Raw genomic sequence first — 21,171 nt, 5'->3', positions numbered from 1 at the left:
GCTGGCTCCAGAAGTTTCTGCAACCAGAAAGCTTGATTCTGCTGCCACCTGCTGTCTGAAGCCAGAAACAACTTTGGATAAGAGACCTTGTTCAGAACATGTTCGAATAAGGCATGAGTTGCAGTTCTGAAAAGGCTTTTTCCCAATGCTATGCTTATATATTTAGGTCTCTTCTTTATGTCTGTATTTTTCTGTTTTCTGTCCAAACGTTCTGATCCCTTGAAAACCCACCAAAAGAGTGTTCCACTAAAGCTTTGTCAATATGAAAAGACCCATACAAGCTTTTTTCCTTTCTTTAATCCGGCCTCAGGTGCTACGATTGTTCATTTCTTTGCTTCTTTCCCTCTCTTACGTCCTTCTTGCCTTTCATAGGCATTTGTTTAGTGTTTATTATGTAGTAGTTTTTGTGAGGGCTGTGAAGGTATAAAATGTGAAAGACTTGGGTGATTGCCTTAGAAGAAATTACACTCTGGGTGGTGGTTATGCCCAGATAGCCAGGATGGCCTGCTGAGCAGTGAATCCCCTAGACTTTTTTCTATGAAAAAAAGGCATAATTCTGCACATATTTTTTACTTTTTTTTTAATCTTAAAATACTTTTTGGCGATCCTTCCATGCCACACAAATCTATTCCACTTTATATAGAATTTCTCTGTATTTATGAATCATGGTGAATTAAACCTTTCCCCTATCAGTGGGCATTGAGATCATCACTGTTTTACTTTTACAAACAATGCGTAAGGGAACTTCCTTGTACATGTCTCTTGGAGGTACATTTCTAAATATTTCTTTAGGATACACACCTGGAGGTAAACTTACTGAGGCAAAGGTATCTATGTTTTTCATTGTAATAGATACTGCTAAATCATTCTTTTCAAAAAGCTGTCCAATTTACGCCTCCACCATCAGATTCAGATTTCCCATTTACACACAGCAAGATGGACACTTTATATTTTCAGGCTTTAGTTTCGGCCAATCTGATGAATAAAAATTGGTATTTCATTGTTTTAATTTGTCTTTACCTGCGTACTTAATAAGATTAAGAATATATTTTCATATTTTTATTGGTTATTTGTATTTTCAATTAATTGTTGATATCTTTTGCTCACTTTTTGTATATTGGTTTGTCTTTTTTTCTTATTGACTCTTAAGGTGCTCTCTATATATTCTGGAATTTTTTTTTTTTTTTTTTTTGAGATGGAGTCTTGCTCTGTCGCCCAGGCTGGAGTGCAGTGGCACGATCTCGGCTCACTGCAAGCTTCGCCTCCTGGGTTCACGCCATTCTCCTGCCTCAGCCTCCCAAGTAGCTGGGACTACAGGCGCCTGCCACCATACCTGGCTAATTTTTTATATTTTTAATAGAGACGGGGTTTCACCGTGTTGGCCAGGATGGTCTCGATCTCCTGATCTCGTGATCCGCCTGCCTCGGCCCCCCAAAGTACTGGGATTACAGGCGTGAGCCACCGCATGTCCTATTGTGGATTTTAATTCATTGTTGGGTTTGCTGCAGAATGGGCACTGTATGTACAATTTCTTGTTCTCACAGCAACCACGGAAGGTAGGTTTTGTCATCCTTGTGAAAGAATTGTCCTATCTGAGCCTAAATGTCCACTGGGCATGTGGGGCATGTGATCACCCCTGTCCCAAGCATATATTTGTATGATCTGATGGACAAGAGACTTTTGTGTGTGCACATATGCATGTGCATGTGTGTGTGTGTGAGTGTAAGAATGGACAAAGTTCCAGTACAGGTGTCTTGGAGGCAGTGGGAAGAAGAGAGGGAGGGAAGGGAGAATGGAAGAAGAGAAGGGAGAATGGAATGGTGTGGTGCCTAGTCTCCCAGCCCAGCCTCAGTTTGGTAGAGGGAGCTGTTGGGGCGTCAGGGGCAGGCAATGGTGTTTTAGGGCCCAGGTGACAAAGCACAGTGCAAAGTGGGAGGAGAGGCATTTTTCCTGTTTCTCCTAGAACACAGCAGAACCACTTGGCAGGCCTGCTGAGCAGCAGCAGTGAAGTGTCAGGAAGGTGCCTCCTCCTGGCAGGCATGGCAGCAGTGACAGTAGCCAGGGGTCCTCCCCAAATATCTTGTCGAGAGAACGTGAGCATCTATGAGAGACTTCCTCTAGGCACCTAGAAATAACAGAGGAGATTCTGTGGTTATGCAGCCAGGAATCAATTGGTCAGCATATTCTTGTGCTGGCCTGTTACCCATGGGCATAGGTGGCCCTGGAACATTTAGCTTACATGTATGGGAGGACATTGAAGCCCAGAGAGTTTAGGTAACTTGCCCAAAGTCTTCTAGCAAATAAGTATTGAAGAAGCCAAACGTCCTACATCTTTGTAACTTTTTTAAAAATTAAAAAGTAAACTTTAATGTCGAAAATGCAAACTGTAACCTTTCAAATATGGCTCCCAAGAGGGATCATCAAGCAAAATCAGAAGACATGATTTCTTGAATATTTTTATGAAGCTGGACCTGAAAAGGATAAAGCATTGACAGATTCTGTGTTAAAATCAACTCCCCACAACAGGACATGTAAAGTCCCAGGAGGCCCATTAGGGGAAAGTGTCACAATTCCAGATTTTTTATGGCTGTGCTGTAGAAGAGGCCTTCCCCACCCACTCTACCAGTCAAGCTGGGACTCCTGCCTCTGCAGGTCACAGGGAAATCAAGCTCAATTAGACTTTCCCCCAGATTCATTCAGATCCAGATGTTATCAAGACCCAAAGATTAAATGCACCAGGCTTGATTCAGAAATCTCATAGATCACTCATTCAACCTGTCAACCAACAATCACCGAGTTTCAAGGTCTCAGGCACTGTCCTAGGCTTGAGAAGGATAAATAGATAAAACCTACTGGTTCTGCCTCAAGAATTTTACAGTCCAGTGAGGGAGGCAACAGATAAATGGATATTTACAGCTCAGCAGTAAGTGCTATGAAGAGGGGAGCCCAGGACCATGAGATCCTAGAGGAAGGTCAGGTAATGAAAATTGGGGAGAGGTCATTTAAAAAAAAAATCTTTTGTTTTTTTTGAGATGTAGTTTCACTCTTGTTGCCCAGGCTGGGGTGCAATGGCGCAATCTCAGCTCACTGCAACCTCCAACTCCAGGGTTCAAACGATTCCCCTGCCTCAGCCTCTGAATAGCTGGGATTACAGGCGTGCGCCACTATGCCTGGCTAATTTTTGTATTTTTAGTAGAGACGGGGTTTCGCCATGTTGATCAGGTTGGTCTCGAACTCCTGACCTCAGGTGATCCACCCACCTCGGCCTCCCAAAGTTCTGGGATTACAGGCGTGAGCCACTGTGCTCAGCCAAAAAATTTTTTAAATTGTGTATACTTGAGGTTTACAGCACAATGTTATGGGATACATATAAATAGTAATATGGTTACAGTTATGAAGCAGATTAATGTTTCTATCATCTCAAATAGTTACTTTTTTGTGACAAGGGCAGCTAAAATCTACTTATTTAACACAAATTCCCAATATGATACAGTTTTTTTTAACTTTAGTCTTCATGTTGGACCTTAGATGTGGAGACTTTTCATATTTCGTATCCTTTGACTTACAGTGCCTCATTTCCTCTCCCCACCACCCAATCATGGTAACCACCGTTTCATTCTCTCTGTGTATTTGAGCTCTTTTTAAAATGCCATGTATAAGTGAGGTCATGCAATGTTTTTCTCTCTGTATCTGGATTATTTCACTTAGCCTAATGTCCTCCAAGTCCACCCATGTTGTGGCAAATGACAGGGTCTCCTTTTCTTTTTTTAAGACTGCATAATATTCCATTGTATGGGGGGAGCTTCAAAAGGTTCACGGAAAAATGGAATTAAAAGATAAAAATTGAAAATATAAACTATTTCTCAACATAATCTCCATCAAGTTCAAGATGCTTTTGAAAGCAATGATACCAGCCATTTAGTCCATCTCTGAAGAACTGAGGGTCTTGGGAATTTAACCACATCAATGCAGTCGTTTTTACATTATTAACTGAAGAAAAATGGGTGTACCTTATAGGGTTTTTTTAAGAATAGGAAACCAAAAAATGTCAGAAGAAGCCAAATCAGGACTGTAAGGTGGATGCCTAATGATTTCCCAATGAAACTCTAAAAAGATTATCCTTGTTTGATGAGAGAAATGAGCAGGGACATTGCCATGGTGGAGAAGGACTCTATGGTGAAGCTTTCCCAGGGAATTTTCTGCTAAAGCTTTGGCTAACTTTCTCAAAACACTCTCATAATATGCAGATGTTACTGTTCTTTGGCCCTTCAGAATGCCAACAAGCAAAATGCCTTGAGCATCCCACAAAACTGTTGTCATGACCTTTTCTTTTGACCAATGCACTTTTGCTTTGACTCGACCATTTCCACCTCTTGGTGGCCATTGCTTTGGGCTTTGTCTTCAAGATCGTACCTGTAAAGCCATGTTTCATCTCCCATTACAATTGTTTTGCTTTAGGAGCTTGATGTCACTTCTTTAAAATTTGGATTGAAAGCTCTGCTCTTGCCTGCAGCTGATCTGGGTGCAACGGTTTTGGCACCCATTGCGTGGAAAGTTTATTCAACTTGAATTTTTCAGTCAGATTTACGTAAGTGGAACCAGTTGAGATGTCTCTGGTGTTGGCTATTGTTTTTGCTGTTAGTCATCAATTCTCTTCAATTAGGGCATGAACAAGATTAATTTTTCCCTTGAAAATTGATGTGGATGGTCTGCCACTATGGGCTTCATCTTCAACATTGCCTCATCTGTTTTTAAAACAAGTTATCCATTTGTAAACTGCTGATTTCTTTGGGGATTGTTTCCATAAACTTTTTGTAAAGAATCAGTGATTTGATCATTCTTTCACAAAAGCTTCACCATACATTTGATGCTTGTTCTTGCTTCAATTTTAGCAGAATTCATGTTGCTCCGACAGGGGACTCTTTTCAAACTGATGTGTTGTCCTTAGTGTCTCTAACTAGATCCTGACCAGACATGTTATAAACAAGTTAGTACTAGTTTATTTTGTTGTGAACAATTTTGAAATCCATACATAGTGTTTTCTTTCTTTGTTTGTTTTTTTGTTTTTGTTTTTTTTTTTTGAGACGGAGTCTTGCTCTGTCGCCCAGGCTGGAGTGCAGTGGCGCGAACTCGGCTCACTGCAAGCTCCGCCTCCCGGGTTCACGCCATTCTCCTGCCTCAGCCTCCGGAGTAGCTGGGACTACAGGCACTCGCCATCACGCCCGGCTAATTTTTTTTGTATTTTTTAGTAGAGACATTGTTTCACCGTGTTAGCCAGGATAGTCTCGATCTCCTGACCTCATGATCCGCCCGCCTCGACCTCCCAAAGTGCTGAGATTACAGGCCTGAGCCACCGCGCCCGGCCACATAGTTTTTTGTTTTTTTTTTATAATACAGACTTTCCATGAACTTTTTGAAAATACCTTGTATGTACACCACAAAACCCATTTTCTTTATCCATCCTAAATGTCAATGGGCACTTAGTTTGTTTCCTTATCTTGGCTATTGTGAATAACATAACAATGAACAGGGGAGTGCAGACATGTTTACAAGGTGATAATTTCCTCTCCTTTGGGAATATACTCAGGAAAGGGATTACTGCATCATATGGTAGTTCCATTTTTAATTTATTTAGGAACCTCCATACTGTTTCCTATAATGACTGTACCAATCTACATTCCCACTAACAGTGTACTGTGGACCTGAAACCATAAAACTCCTAGAAGAGAACACAGGGGAAAAACCTCTCGACATTTGCCTTGACAATGATTGTTTTTTGAAACGGAATCTCTCGTTCTGTCACCCAGGCTGGAGTGCAGTGGCGCAATCTTGGTTCACTGCAACTTCTGCCTCCCGGGTTCAAGCAATTCTCCTGTCTCAGCCTCTCGAGTAGCTGGGACTACAGGCATGTGCCACCACGCCTGGCTAATTTTTGTATTTTTAGTAGAGATGGGGTTTCACCATGTTGGCCAGGCTGGTCTCGAACTATTGACCTCAAATGATCCACCCGCCTTGACCTCCCAAAGTGCTGAGATTACAGGTGTGAGCCACTGCGCCCGGCCTGATTTTTCTTTTTCTTAATATCACATCAGAAGCTCAGACTACAAAAACAAAAATAAATAAAGGGACTACATCAAACTAAAAAATTCTGCACAGGAGAGGAAACAATCAACAAACTTGAAAAGCAACCTATGGACTAGGAAAATATAATTGCAAACCACATATCTGATAAGGAATTAATATCCAAAAAATATAAGGAACTCTTACAACTCAATAGCAGTAGAACAAATAACCCAATTTTAAAAATGGGCAAAGGGCTTTTCTGCCTCCACTGCCACCATGGCGCCCGTGAAAAAGCTTGTGGTGAAAGGGGGCAAAAAAGAAGCAGGTTCTGAAGTTCACTCTTGATTGCATCCACCCCATAGAAGATGGAATCATGGATGCCGCCATTCTACCAATTTTGAGCAGTTTTTGCAAGAGAGGATCAAAGTGAACAGAAAAGCTGTGAATCTTGGAGGAGTGGTGACCATCGAAAGGAGCAAGAGCAAGCTTACCGTAACACCGGAAGTGCCTTTTTCCAGAAGGTATTTGAAATATCTCACCAAAAAATATTTGAAGAACAATAATCTATGTGATTGGTTGTGCATAGTTGCTAACAGTAAAGAGAGTTATGAATTACGTTATTTCCAAATTAACCAGGACAAAGAAGAAGAGAAAGATGAGGATTAAATTTTATTTATCTGGAATATTTTGAATGAATTCTTGAATAAAACTTGGGAACCAAAAAGAATGGGCAAAGGATCTGAGCAGACATTTCTCCAAAGAAATGGGTCACACCAGCTCATTGCTGTAGCAGTGATGGAGTAAAAAAGGTAGGTAAGGAACGTGAGCAGTATGTGGGAGGTGTCTCATGTACTTTACTAGGGAGCTTGAAGTCTTCCCTGAAGTTAATAAAAATCCAACAATGCAATAAAATTTATTTTTCAAGTTCACCCTGGCAGCGCTATGGAGAAAAATTTAGAAAAGATTAAGATGAGAGCTAGGGTCTGTAGATTAGCTTTTAAGGGTTGTCTGTTATATGTAAAATTTTGTGCTTGTGTGACCATGTGATTCTTCTGTGGAGAGGTTCAGAGTTATTGTTGGATTCTCAAAGGGCTCCATGGCCCAAATAGAGGAGGGTGATCATTAAGGCATCTAATGCAACTGTGATGATGAGAACATGAACCAAGACTGTGGGTGGTACGGCCAGGTGTGACTGGCATTTCTCCAGGCATATCATCCTGAGGGTATGGTTGGGGTACAAAATGCTGCAAGCAGGATTATAGTCAAGCACTGCATAGTGACATTTCAGCCAAATGGACCACATATATGATGGGGTCCCAGAAGATTATCACGGAGCTGAAAAATTCCTGTAGCCTAATAACCATGTAGCTGTCATAAAGTCCTAGCACAATGCATTACTTATGTGTTTATGGTGATGCCCAGTATAAACAGACCCACTTGCTGCCAGTCATATAAGAGTCTAGCACATACAGTTATATACAGTACATAATACTTGAGAATGATAATAAATGACCATGTTACTGGTTTATGTATTTACTATATATTTTGTTGTTTTAGAGTGTACTCCTACTTATTGAAAAAAAAAAGGTAACTGTTAAACAGCCTCTGGGAGGTCCTTCAGGAAGTATTCCAGAAGAAGGCATTGTAATCATAGGAGATGACAGCTCTATGCATGGTATTGTCCCTAAAGACCTCCGAGTGGGACAAGATGTGGAGGTGGAAGACAGTGATATTGATGATCCTGACCCTGTGTAGGCCTAAGCTAATGTGTGTCTTTGTGTCCTAGTTTTTAACAAAAAAAAAAGAAAAAATTAAAAATTTAAGATAATAGAGTAAAGCTTATAGAATAAAGATATAAACAGAGAAAATATTTTTGTACAGCTGTACAATGTGTTTGTGTTTAAGCTAAGTGTTATTACAAAAGAGTCAAAAAGTTTAAAAAATTAAAAAGTTTATAAAGTAAAAAATTTACAGTAAGCTGAGATTAATTTCTTATTAAAGAAAAAAATGTGTTAAATTTAGTGTAGCCTAAGTATAGAGTGTTTATAAAGTCCACAGTAGTGTATAGTAATGTCCTAGCCCTTCACATTCACTCACCACTCACTCACTGACTCACCCAGAACAGCGTTGAGTCCTGCAAACTCTATTTATGGTAAGTGCCCTATACAGGAGTATACGTTTTTATCTTTTATACTTAGTGGAAAAAACAAAAACTGTTGTTACTCTCCTCTCACATCACAACCACAAAAGACTCCTGAGACCAAATGTATGGCGGTTTCTCGCCACCACCAAGCAAGCAGTCGATTCTACAGACACGCTAGCTTGGTGTCCTCCAGTTCAATTCATTCTGATGCTCTCTACCTGGAGATAGTGTCAGATCATACAGTCCCCAAGACTGCCCCTACTTCACATACCTGTCAGAAGTCTGGACCTCTGGAACTTCTGACCAACTGGCTTTAAGTTGAGATTCCTACATCCTCCTCTTTTGGCTCAATTAATTTGCCAGTGCTGTTCACAGCACTCAGGGAAACACATTTATATATTCTTTATAATACACAAAAAATTATATATTATAAAGAATACCACAAAGCATGCAGATGCAGAGACGCACAGGGCGAGGTATGGGGAAGGGGCTCGGAGCTTCCATGCCCTGCTTGGGTGTGCCACTCTCCAGAAACCTCCATGTGCTCAGCTACCTGGAAATACTCTGTACCCAGTCCTCTTGTGCCTTTGTGGAGACTTCATTGGGTAGTCATGATTGACAACCATGCAGAAATGGGCAAGAAGGGTATGGTCTAATACTAATAGACTGAGTGGAGAAACCCAGCAAGGCCTGTCTGTTCAGATTCTTCTTGGCATCTCTGTGCAGCATTTGTTCCTCCTGGGTGTGGGGCAGGACTCCTTCTGAATTGGGGGTTCTTATGACCTACAGTCAGATAGGGTAGGTAAGAGAATTTCTTTATGGTCAGCTCCAAGAGAGGTGAGAGAAGAGTCCTGCCTTGGGGAGAAAAAGGAGGGCAGGAGGTGGTCGGAAGGCCAGAGAGACAGACATTCTGTTTTCTGAGGCCTGTAGCACCCCAACATTATATAACAAGGGCTATGGGAGTTATGAGTCAGGAGCTGTGGACGAAAGCCAATATGTATACCAAAATATCACATATACCATATTTTTACTGTACCTTTTCTATGTTTAGATATGTTTGGATACACAAATACTGACCATTGTATTACAATTGCCTACAGTATTCAGTACAGTAACATGCTATACGTGTTTGCCACCTGGGAGCAATAAGCAACGCCATACAGGCTAGGTGTGTAGTAGGCTCCACCATCTACATTTGTGTAAGCACATACTATAAGGTTCACACAATGACAAAATCACCTATCAATGCACTTCTCAGAATGCATTTTTAAGTGGTGCATCACTGTATTTGGGGACTTTCTCCTTCCCCACTTATATTGCTAGAGGGTGAGGAGAGGCAGAAGTCCCTAGGGTGTCTTTTAGCTGATGTCTTCCATTCTGTTTCCATGTAGCTCCTGACTTTGAAGGTGCTGTTTTGGTATCCTCTCTCCTCCTAACGTATCAGGCTGTCTGAAGCCATCACTGCCCCCGAAATCCACGAGCTACTGTTCTGTCCATCAGCCTCTATACCAAGGCCTGGCCTCAGGGAGCCACCCTCCACCATGAAAATTTTCCACCTCTTTTAGGTACATGGCAGCACTATTCTTGTGCCTTTATTATTTCATTCAAACAACAAATAATTGAGTGCCTACCAGGTATCAGGTACTTTGTTTGGCACCAAACGACAGTGAACTACAGACATGGTCCCTACCCCATGGAAGTTATAGACTAGCAAAGGAAATTGCCTTGTAACCAAGCAATGACAATGCACACTGTAAATGCTGTGATGATGGGGGAAATACAGGATCTGTCGGAGCACAGAGGAATGACATCTAATGCAGACTTAGGAGATCAGAAAAGGCTTCCTGGGAGAAGTAAGATCTAATCTCAACCCTAAAGGTTAAATTTGAGTTAGCCAGATAAACAGAGAGAGAAAACCTGGCCCAGGGAATATACCTTTTTTTTTTTTTTTTAATTGAGACAGGGTCTCACTCTGTCCCCTAGGCTGGAGTATAGTGGCATGATCATGGCTCACTGCAGCTTTAACCTCCTGGGCTTAGGCAATCCTCCTGCCTTAACCTCTTGAGTAACTGGGACCGTAGGCATGTGTCACTATGCCAGGCTAATTTTTTTAAATTATTATTTGTAGACACAGGATCTTGCTACATTGCCAGGGCTGGTCTTCAACTCCTGGGCTCAAGCAATCCGTACAATATGGCCTCCCAAAGTGCAGGGATTATAGGCATGAGCCACCATGCCTGGTCTGCAGCTTTTATTTTACTCATTTTATGCATTCTTCCCCTAATGGAAGCATAGTTCAAGGGGAAGAAGCCTGCCCTAGCGCTGTTGTTTCTAGGTGCAATTCACAGTATCCACTCCCCTCTAATCCTGTGTCCTCACTCCCCCACATCAGCTGGTACATCCTATCTCCCTCTCCTCAGGGTAAGGCCTTCCCCTGCAGCTAACACTGCTTTGGGGCTGGACCAGAATGAGACCTGCAGATACTTGGGTTGTATTTTCTTTAAATAGTTCCTCAGTGCCCTGTAGAAAAAGGATAAAGAGGAGGACCATCAGCTGCACAGCCTCCAAAATCCAAGGGGCTTTAACTCTGGCCCCAAACTTACAACCTCTCTCCAAAACAATAGCCTCATAGTTCACTTGACTATCCTTTTTAGAAGGACCATCTGTTGTCACCCAGGCATACCCCTTGGGGTCTTACCTTCCACCCCCATCCCCAAGTGGCTCATCAAGGTATTTACTCCAACCCTATTGAGTACTCTCTGTGAGATTTCTGATTTAAAAAAATTTTCGTCTTTGAAGTTCTATTTCCAGTGATATTTTAGTGCACTAGTCATGTTTTACCCCTTGTCATAGATTGACAGCAAAGGGAATTGTTCAGCTGGTTGGTCACCCCTTAATGTAGGTTCTCCTTGAGGAATTTGAGAAATGAAGAGGTTATAAAGCAGCACCCACATGTCCAACACTATACTCTTCCCACAGGTTCCTCTACTTGTGATATAATTAGCTCTCCCTGGTGGGTCCATCTCTCCCCTGCACCCAGACTGCACCCCACGCCACCCCCTACAGGCCTAGACCTGTCTGAATTAGTTGAGTAAGTATAGATGAGGCTTACATGCTGGTGCCTCAGTTGACTTGTAACCCAATAGAGAAGGGACAGGGATTTATGATTAAGAGGCCAGAGAGGAGGAGCTAACAGCTCCTGGGTTTTAAAATATCAACAATACTAATACTATAACATTCCATTGTAATGTTCTTTATAATGTTCAAAGATCTTCGAATCTTTTTTTTTTTTTTTTAAAGACAGGATCTTGCTATGTTACCCAGGCTGGAGGGCAGTGGTGCAATCATGGCTCACTGCAACCTCGACCTCTATGCTCAAGTGATTCTCCTGCCTCAGCCTCCTGTGTAGCTGGGACCACAGGCACCTGCCACCACACCTGGCTAATTTTCTGATTTTTTATAGAGACAAGGTCTCACTTTGTTGCCCAGGCTGGTCTCGAACTCTTGGCCTTAAGGGATCCTCCTGTCTTGGCACCCCAAGGTGCTGGGATTACAGGTACACAATTTGGTGAGTGAAAGAAGTGAGGTCCTCTCAGCCTTTCCAGACACCATCTACACCACCACAGGCACTGGCTGCTTCAGGTTGGGGACCTTTTGAGGATGAGTCGTAGATAAGATGGGCTCCTTGCTAACATGTGTCATTCATTGCCTCAAAGGGTGTCTATTCAACAGCAGGAGCCTCCGCTGCTTCTTTTTTTTTTTTTTCTCAAAAAAAAAAGAGGGTCTCACTCTGACACCCAGACTAGAGTACAATGGCGAGATATCGACTCACCGCAACCTCCGCCTCCCAGGCTCAAGCGATTCTCCTGCCTCAGCCTCCCGAGTAGTTGGAATTACAGGCCTGCACCACCATGCCTGGCTAATTTTTTGTATTTTCAATAGAGATGGGGTTTCATCATGTTGGCCGGGCTGGTCTTGAACTCCTGACCTCAAATGATCCACCCGTCTTAGCCTCCCAAAGTGCTGGGATTATAAGCATTAGCCATCATGCCCGGCCCAGGAGCCTTTGCTTCTAACTCCTATAGGGCTGCTGAAAGATTAGTTCCCTGTTTTAGTATTTAATCTAGTCCCTTGTCTCCATTTGATGGGTTGGTAAAAGGAAAAGTAACAATCTCAACCTGCTGTTACTTTCCTTTAACTAAAAGGTTGCTGATTACAACTGGAATACTATATGCATTAAGATAAGGTCTCAACGGTTTCATTTCTACATGAACAAATAAGATTAAAAGGTTTCAGGTTGTTCTTTCTAAGCACCTTTAAGCAAATAATACATTGTGGTGTGTAAAGTCTCCATTCTCTGTAAATGAGAAGCCAAATCAGATAGGCCATTACAGGGTCCACCGGAGTCCCCTTGCACTTGAGTTTGCGGCACAGGTCCAGGGTTGCTGTTCAAACCTGCGTGGGACACTCTAGGGCCAGTGTGGATTTCTTGCGCAGGGAGTCCTCTGGTTTCTTGGGTTGGGTTAGTTCTCTGGTTTCTTGGGTTGGGTTAGTTTTACAGTTTTGTTGTGTTTTATTGCAGGACTGGGAGGCAGCCAGTCAAAATGGTCTCTAGCCATCTAATTGCTGATCAGTTCAAGCATGTAATACAATTTCAACATCAAACAGACAAAGATGAGGTGGAGGAGTGACTGATTAGATGATCTCAAGCAGCAGGGACAGTCCGGGATTAGCTACTGCCACTCCAGTTGTGACTGTGTCACAAGTAGATTCAGGAAGCAACAGGAAGTTGAGATTCACATACCTCCCAGAGAATAGTAAAACAGTGTTTCCTATCCAGTGGGTCATGATCCGTGACAGGTTTACCATGTTACCCTGGGGGATTTACATCCCTAAAAGTGGAATTAATGTCTACTTTGTTTTGTAAAAATCTGTAAAATACATTGGTTTCTCAAATACAAGATAGAAGAATCAAATATCAGGCCTTGAAAGTAGTTTTTTTCTTGTTATATCATGTAGTAAATTTCAATGTGTATTTTAATATGAAAACCCCAAACCGAACACTATAGAATATGTCTTTTCAAGACTTATTTATTGACTAATCATCCTTTTTCATGCAATTAATTTAAAGTAAATTTGAGGAGCATGCATCATTTTTTGAATGGGGAGAAACATAAAACTGGCTCAGTGTTATAGTAAAGCATTAGAGTAAAATGAACATCATAAATGCAATCCTCGATCATGTAATGAATTAAAGAAAATATTTGTTTTTAAAATCATGTGTTATTATATACTTTGTGTGATAGCATTTGTCATTCTTTTTTTTTTTTCTAAGCTCTCTAGTTGCTTTGAATACTCTTTATATTTGGGACTCTCCCATCTAGTGAGTCTGCCTTTTGAAAATAGAGGCCAAATTTTCCCAGATTCCCTTGAAGTGAGGAAAAATTGTGGCACAGACTCCACCAATCAGTGCTCCTGCATGTGATTTCAGTGTGGAAGACTGAAGTCATGAAGACGGGGTCCTGAGGGAATCCCTTCAGGTGACAGCAGAGAGGCAGCAAAGATACATCCAGTTTCCAGAGAGAATCAAGGCAGGGGCTTGGCATAGCATCCCTGCCCACTATTCGGCCTGTGTTGAGTGGCAGGGACAGCGGTAGCAGTATTGGTTCTGGCTGCTCAGCCTCTATGCTTGGTTTTCTGGTTGTGTCTCCTAGAGATTATGCTAATAGCCTTTTAATACAGTGGTCCTTCAACATTTTATGTGCGCACTCCCAAAACAAATGTAATGAAGCTGGCTTTCTAGAGTGTTCAGGTCATTACACAGTAGTTTACAGCTTAGGAACATTTTGTTCTACATAAGTAAATGTTCTACTGTTAAAAATGTAGTTTAATCTATCTTGTGGAAATAAATAGCAAAAGGAAAGGCAGGTGTTGAAGCTCTGGTAAGTGTGCTGATTACAAAAGATACAGTAATTATTATTTAAGTGCATTATTTTCAGTTGAATTCACAACATATCTCCATTGAATTAATCTAAATCTAGTAAGTACATACTTTGAATGACTAAACCCACAAAGTGGTTGATGAGGAACAGCAGGAGAATGTGTCCAAGTAAAAACTGAGTATGGTTTTATGACATCAATAAGCTTTTGGCCAAAATTAATGACAATTTTTTTACAAGTCTAAAGGAGCATTTATGGAAATATAGAATGCCACTACCTACTTTCAATTGCTTTTGCTAACTTGAAGATATAATGTTGATCTGTTGGAAGTAAATGTGTGACCTCACCTTCTCTTTGAAATAATGCAAAATAGGCAGGGCATAGTGGCTCACACCTGTAATCCTAGCATTTTGGGAGGCTAAGGCAGGAGGATTGCTTGCGCCCAGGAGTTTGAGGCCAGGAGTTTGCAACATAGCTAGACCCCATTTCAAAAAAAAATAAAATAAAATACAGTAAAATAAAAATGTAACAATGCAAAATACTCAGCTGACACATGGGTGAACACAAGTGAAATTTTATAGCATGTTGTTATTCTCTGACATGCTTCAGACAAAATTTAAATATCTTAATTCTAAGATGGATAAAAAGACAGGAAGGAAAGGAGGCAGGGAGGTGGATAAGGCACAGAGTCTTGTCATAAGTTTGTCTCCAGGATGGAATGAGCTCTGGTAAGTTCTGTATTTTGTACTGAGCCTCTCTACTTTGCCCTCTCAGAACTCTCCTATAGTAGCAATGCATTATTTGATCATAATTAGGCAATGCAAAAGGCAAGACCCTTCAACAAAATTTGCCATAATTCCTGCCACTTCACTCCTCAATATACATGAATTCAGGATGTCCCCAAATACCTTGTTTCTATATTATGCTGCACCCTTATCAAAAATATAAAGACAAAAACATGTAGCCTTAGTGTAGGATTACAATTTCTTGACTAAAGGAGGCTTCCATATATTGAGTTGTTCTACAATATCATGCTGCAGGTAATTACACCCCAGTGGAATGCCCCATAATTAAATTCAGGAAGCCTTAAACATGTGATAATCATTTATTCATTCATTCATTTTTAATAAAATGGAGAATGGGAATTGTGAAAGAGGAGGTGGAAATGATGAGACAGTATGACACCTTGACCTCACATATGCAATAAGACATATTAATTTTAAGAAACAGGCTGGGCGCAGAGGCTCACGCCTGTAATTCTAGCACTTTGGGAGGCCAAGGTGGGCGGATCATGAGGTCAGGAATTAGAGACAAGCCTGGCCAACATGGTGAAACCCTGTCTCTACTAAAAATACAAAAAAATTAGCTGGGTGTGGTGGCACACGCCTGTAGTCCCAGCTACTCGAGAGGCTGAGGCGGAAGAATTGCTTGAACCCGGGAGGCGGAGGTTGCAGTGAGCTGAGATTGCGCCATTGCACTGCAGCACTCCAGCCTGGGCAATAGAGGGAGACTCCGTCTCGGAAAAAAAAAAAAAAAAAAAGGCTGGGCACGGTGGCTCACACCTGTAATCCCAGCACTTTGGGAGGCCAAGGCAGGCGGATCATGAGGTCAGGAGATCGAGACCATCCTGGCTAACATGGCGAAACCCCGTCTCTACTAAAAAAAAAAAAAAAAATTAGCCGGGCATGGTGGCGGGCGCCTGTAGTCCCAGCTACTCAGGAGGCTGAGGCAGGAGAACGGCGTGAACCCAGGAGGCGGAGCTTGCAGTGAGCCGAGATCACGCTACTGCACTCCAGCCTGGGCAGCAGAGCAAGACGCGGTCTGAAAAAAAAAAAAAAAAAAAAAAAAGAGTACCTTTGGAATTTAGGAAATTGAAAATTGATTCTCTAAAAAATCTAAGATATGGAACCTGTTCTCCAAGGCTGGAAACTGACAATCCATATGTGAAATCTCAATCTCCAAACACAGAACCTGAAGTCCTATATGAACTCTGAACTTTCAGGAACTGATTTAGGTCTTCTTGGTGTTATTTCTCCTTTTCCAAGCATACAATCTGGTCCTCCACATGAGAAGCCACTGTACAGGTCCAGTGGCTGGACCTCCAAGCATTGAACCTAGGCCTCTAAGCATGAAAACTTGCAACACAGGTATAAAATGTATCCCTTTAAACACAGAACCTGTCCCTCCATATATAAAATCTGACTTTCCAAACATGGAATATCTCTCCAGGTGTGAATCCTTCCTTTCCAGGCATAAAATACGACATGTGTGTGTGTGGAACCTGGGCTTCTATATGTGGATCCTGGGCCGCTAGCATGGAATCAGGCCTTCTAGGCATGCCATAAGTTACTGCTTTATGAAACCTCTTTGTCTAAGTTGGATCATGGTCTTCCGTGGGTTGAACCTGAACCGCAAGTCATGGCGTCTGGCCCATCAGGTATGGAACCTGGCCATCTTCCAGGTGTTCCATGACCCTCCGAGTATGGAATCTGTACTTCTAGAGATGAAACATGGAGTTATGAGCATGAAACCTGATTCAAAGAAATGTAATATGGCTCTCCACTTTGGGAACTTGGCCATCTGTGGGTAAAACCTGAATTTCTGAGTAGAAATGTAGCCTTCCAGGCACTGAATTGACTCTCCATTGGTAAAACCATGCCTCCAGGCACAGAATCTGCCACTCTATGTGTGGAATCCCAATATCCAAACATGGAAGTTGGCTCTACAAGCATGAAATCTGGCACTCCATGTATGGAATCTCAATTTCCAGAATGGATTCTGACCCTAAGAGCATGGAACCTGACACCCCATGTAAGGATCTCTATCTCCAAGCATGAAATTTAAACTTTCAGGAATGGAATGGAACACAATATGTGGAATCTCAATCTCCCCATATGGAACATGGCTTAATAAGTATATTGCTTGGCACTCCAGACATTAAGCTTGTGTCTCAGTCATAGAAGTTGGTCGCCCAAGACATGAAACCTGGTGCTCCCCATGCATGGAAGATGGCACTTCATGTATAGAATCCAAGAATATCCAAGACTGGAAACATGCAACAGTCATGGAACTTGGCATTCCATGAAAGAAATCTCAACCTCTGAGCAGGGAATCTGGCCCCAAAAGCATGTAATATGGCATTCCATGTAGGAAAGCTGGAACTGATTTACGTGTTTTAGATGTGAAGTCTACCTTTCCAAGTATATAATGTAGAAATCCATGAGCCCCAACCCTACAGGCATGGAACTTGAACCTCTGGCCATGACACCTAGACTTCTAAGCATAAATACTTGCTCCTTCTATGTAGAATGTGGCCCTTAAAACATGGAACCTGGCCTTCCCACATGGATTCTGAATGTCTAGCCATGAAGAGTCTCCCCAGTTGTGATCTTCCCCAGGCATTACATATGACACTCTAGGATTGAAACCTTTACTTTTAGATATGGAACTTGACCTTTTAGGCATGGAATTAGGACTTCCAGGCATGCCATGGGAGCCTGTGAGAAATCCCTCTCTCCAGGCTTGGAACCTGACCTTCTAGGTTGGAACCCGAATCTCATGGCATGTCACCTGGCCCACCAGGTATGGAATCTAGCCAACTTGACACAAAATCTCACCTTCCAAGTATGGAACTTGGAATTTTAAGTAGGAAACAAGACCTTGCATTCATGAGAACTGATCTGTAGAAGAGGAATCTGGTTCTCCAAGTAAGGAACTTGGCCTAAAATGGGAAAAAATCTGATTTTCTGTGAGCAGAAAGGTAAATATCAAGGTAATTTCAGACTCCACTAATAAAACTGGAACTTAGCACGCCATGTGTAGAATCTCAATCTCTAAGCGTGGAGACTGGCCTTCCAAGTATGAACCTGAATCTTAATGTTCAAGCATGGAACATGACCATACACACAAAGAGACTGGAGCTTCAGATATGGAGCGTGGCACTTCTGTCACAGAATTTGGTTCTCCAAGCACGGAAACTGGTTTACCAGCATGTAATCTGCACAGTAGGTGTGGAACCAGTGCTTTTATGTGTGGATTCAGGCCATGTAGACATGAAATTAGGCTTTAAGCATGGCATGCATTGTAAACTGTGTGAAATTTCTCTCTTTCAGTTTGTAACCTGGCCTGGCCTTCTGTGGAATTTGGGTAGAAACTTAATGTCATCTGGCCTACCAGGTATTGAATCTCACCATCCAGGCCTGGAATCTTACTCTCCAAATATGGAACCCGGACTTCCAAGTATAAAATAAGGATTAGCCATCATGAAACATGTTCTATAGAACCCGAATCATAAGGCAATCATCTGGACCTCCAATTATACAATGTGGTGGGCATTAGGCCTAGAATTTGACATTCCAACTATGGAATCTGTATTTCTAGGCATGAAATATGGCCAAGAAAGTAATGAATCCTGATCTACAGAAGTGGAATCTTACTCTTCATGTTGGGATTTGTATTAGTTAGAATTCCCCAGAGAAACAGAACCAATAGGATATATATTTAAGTCCCAGAGTCCAAAGGCCAGAGAAGCAGAAGCTCCAGTGTCTAAGGGCAGGAGAAAATGGATGTTCCAGCTCAATAAGAGAGAGCAACTTTGTCTTTTCTTAACCTTTGTGTTCTATTGGGCCGTTGTGGATTGGACGATGCCCACCCACATTGATGACAATGGTCTTCTTTACTCAGTCTATCAATTTAAATGTTAACCTCTTCCAGAAATGCCCTCACAGATACACCCAGAAATAATGTTTTACCAGCTATCTGGGCATTCCTTAGCTCAGTCAAGTTGACACATAAAATTAACTATTGCAAGAACTTTACCATCTATAGGTAAAACCTGTCTTGCAGAGTGTGGAAATGTAAACTTCCAAGCTATTACTTCATCCTCCATTTGTAAAACTCTACCTCCAGGTATAGAACCTGGCACACCATGACTGTAATCTCAACCTCCAAGGATGGATCCTGACTATACAAGCATGGAACCTAGCAATCCATATTCAGAATCAAAATCTCAAAGCATGGAAAATCGTAATAGGCTGAAACCTGAAATTGCACAGACAGAACTTGTGTGCCATTCACAGAAGTTGGATTTCCTTGCATGGAATCTGTTATGCCAGGCATAGAACTAGGGACTCCATATGGAATCACAATATCCATGCATAAAATCTGGCCCTACAAGCATGGGACATGGCACTCTATGTGTGGAATCTCAATCTTCAACATGGAACAGACCCACAAGCATAAAACCTAACATTTCATATTTGGAATCTCAGTGTTGAGCATGGAACATGACCTTAAAAGTGTGGAATCTGGCACTCCAGTCATGACACCTGGCATGTTTATTATAGATCTTGGCTTTCCAAGATCAGGAACCTCATTTCCCATACAGGGAAACTGGCAGTCCATGTACGGAAACTCAATCTCCAAAAATTGAACCTGGCCCTAGTAGCACAGAACTGGGACTCAATGGATTAAATCTCTAACTCTAAGCATGGAACATGGCTTCACAAGTGTGTGACCTGTCACCCCAGACATGAAACCTAGAGTTTCAGTTGTAGAAGTTTGCTCACTAAAACATGAAGCTTGGCCTCCAAACCATGAACCTGGCACCAGCTGTTTGGAATCTCAACTCTAACATGGAACATGGTCATACAAGTATGGAACCCAGGAATCCATGTATGATACTTCAATATCTAGGTATGGAATTTGGCCCTACAAGCATAGAATCTGGCACCGCATGTATGGATTTCAATAATCATCTAACCTTGCAGTTCATACATGGAATCTGGTACTGCATTTATGGAATTTCAATCTCCAAGCATAGAATCTATATACTTAAAGCATGAAACTTGGCCCTATGAGCATTCAACATGGCACCCCATGTGTGGAATCTCAATCTTCTAGTATAACGTGGCCTTATAAATGTGGAATCTGGCATTCCAGGCATGAAACCTTGGGTTTTAGTCATAGAAGTTGGCTCTCCAAGCCTTAAAAACCTATTTCCCCAGGCATGGAACCTGGCAATGCATGAATGAACTCTCAGTCTCTGAGTGTGAAACTTGAACTACTAATGCTGAAATTGGTACTTACTGTATAAGAACCTCAATACTCAACCACGGGACCTGGCCCTAAAAGCAAGTAACTTAGCATTATATGTATGGAATCTCAAAACTCCATCCATGAAAACTGGCCTTACCGTCATGGAATCTTGCACTCCATGTATGAAACCTAGACTTGCAGGCATTTCATTAATTGGGACGTCCATATAAGCCCCACCCCTACAAACACGGAAACTGGTACTGTGTATATGAATTCTCAATCTCCAAATATGGAACATACCCTTACAAGTGTGGAATCTGTCACTCTAGCTAAAACTCCGGGCATGGAAACTGGCATTTGAGTCACAGAAGCCAACTCTACATGCATGGAACCTGGTCTCCCAGATACGGAATCTGGCACTCTGTGTATGGAATATCAATCCCCAGCCATTGAACCTGACCATATAAACATGGAACCTGTACTCCATTTATGAAACATGGACTTTCAGAGATATATTTAGCTCTCCTAGGTGTAAATCCTGCCTTTTTATGCATATATATTCTGCTCTTCCGCATAAAACCTGGCTCTATAAACATGGAAATTGGGTTTCCAATTATGAAACCTGACTTTCCAGGGTTGGAAAGTAGCTCCTGATGTGAATCCTGCCTCTCTAGGTATAAAACCTGATTCTTTAGTTGTGGAATCTGGGCTTCTATATGTACGCCTTGGTGATCTAGGTATTGAATTAGACCTTTTGAGCATAACATGAGTATGAAATCTCTCTCTCCAAACTTGGAACCTGCCTTGTGAGGGTGGAACCGGAACCTCCTGAAATGCCATCTAGCCCACAAGTAAAAAAATTCAGGGTAGTGTTAAGTGACTTTTCCAAGGTTAAACAATTGATTTTCTATGGAGCTGGGGCTGGAATCCAGGTCTCCTGATTCTCAGCCAGTGCTCACTATAGAGATGGTTGTTCTGCTTATCTTTCT

At 41.9% G+C, this 21,171-nt stretch overlaps 1 long non-coding RNA gene and 1 pseudogene across 1 annotated transcript; one reads left to right on the top strand and one right to left on the bottom strand.

Annotated features, from left to right (window-relative positions):
• Positions 1 to 1,933: 1,933 nt before the first annotated feature.
• Positions 1,934 to 20,452, bottom strand: LOC105372873 (uncharacterized). Its single transcript, XR_922477.2, has 2 exons — positions 20,340 to 20,452; positions 1,934 to 2,125 (listed from the first exon to the last, which is right to left on the bottom strand). It is a non-coding gene; the product is annotated as an uncharacterized LOC105372873 (long non-coding RNA).
• RPL22P4 (ribosomal protein L22 pseudogene 4) lies at positions 6,320 to 6,786 on the top strand (annotated as a pseudogene).
• Positions 20,453 to 21,171: the final 719 nt, after the last annotated feature.

The sequence above is a fragment of the Homo sapiens genome, chromosome 1 (assembly GCF_000001405.40).
Source record: "Homo sapiens chromosome 1, GRCh38.p14 Primary Assembly".
Lineage (NCBI taxonomy): Eukaryota > Metazoa > Chordata > Mammalia > Primates > Hominidae > Homo > Homo sapiens.
The sequence above is the reverse complement of the archived record's forward strand: the minus strand, read 5'-3'. Positions and strand labels throughout refer to the sequence as shown.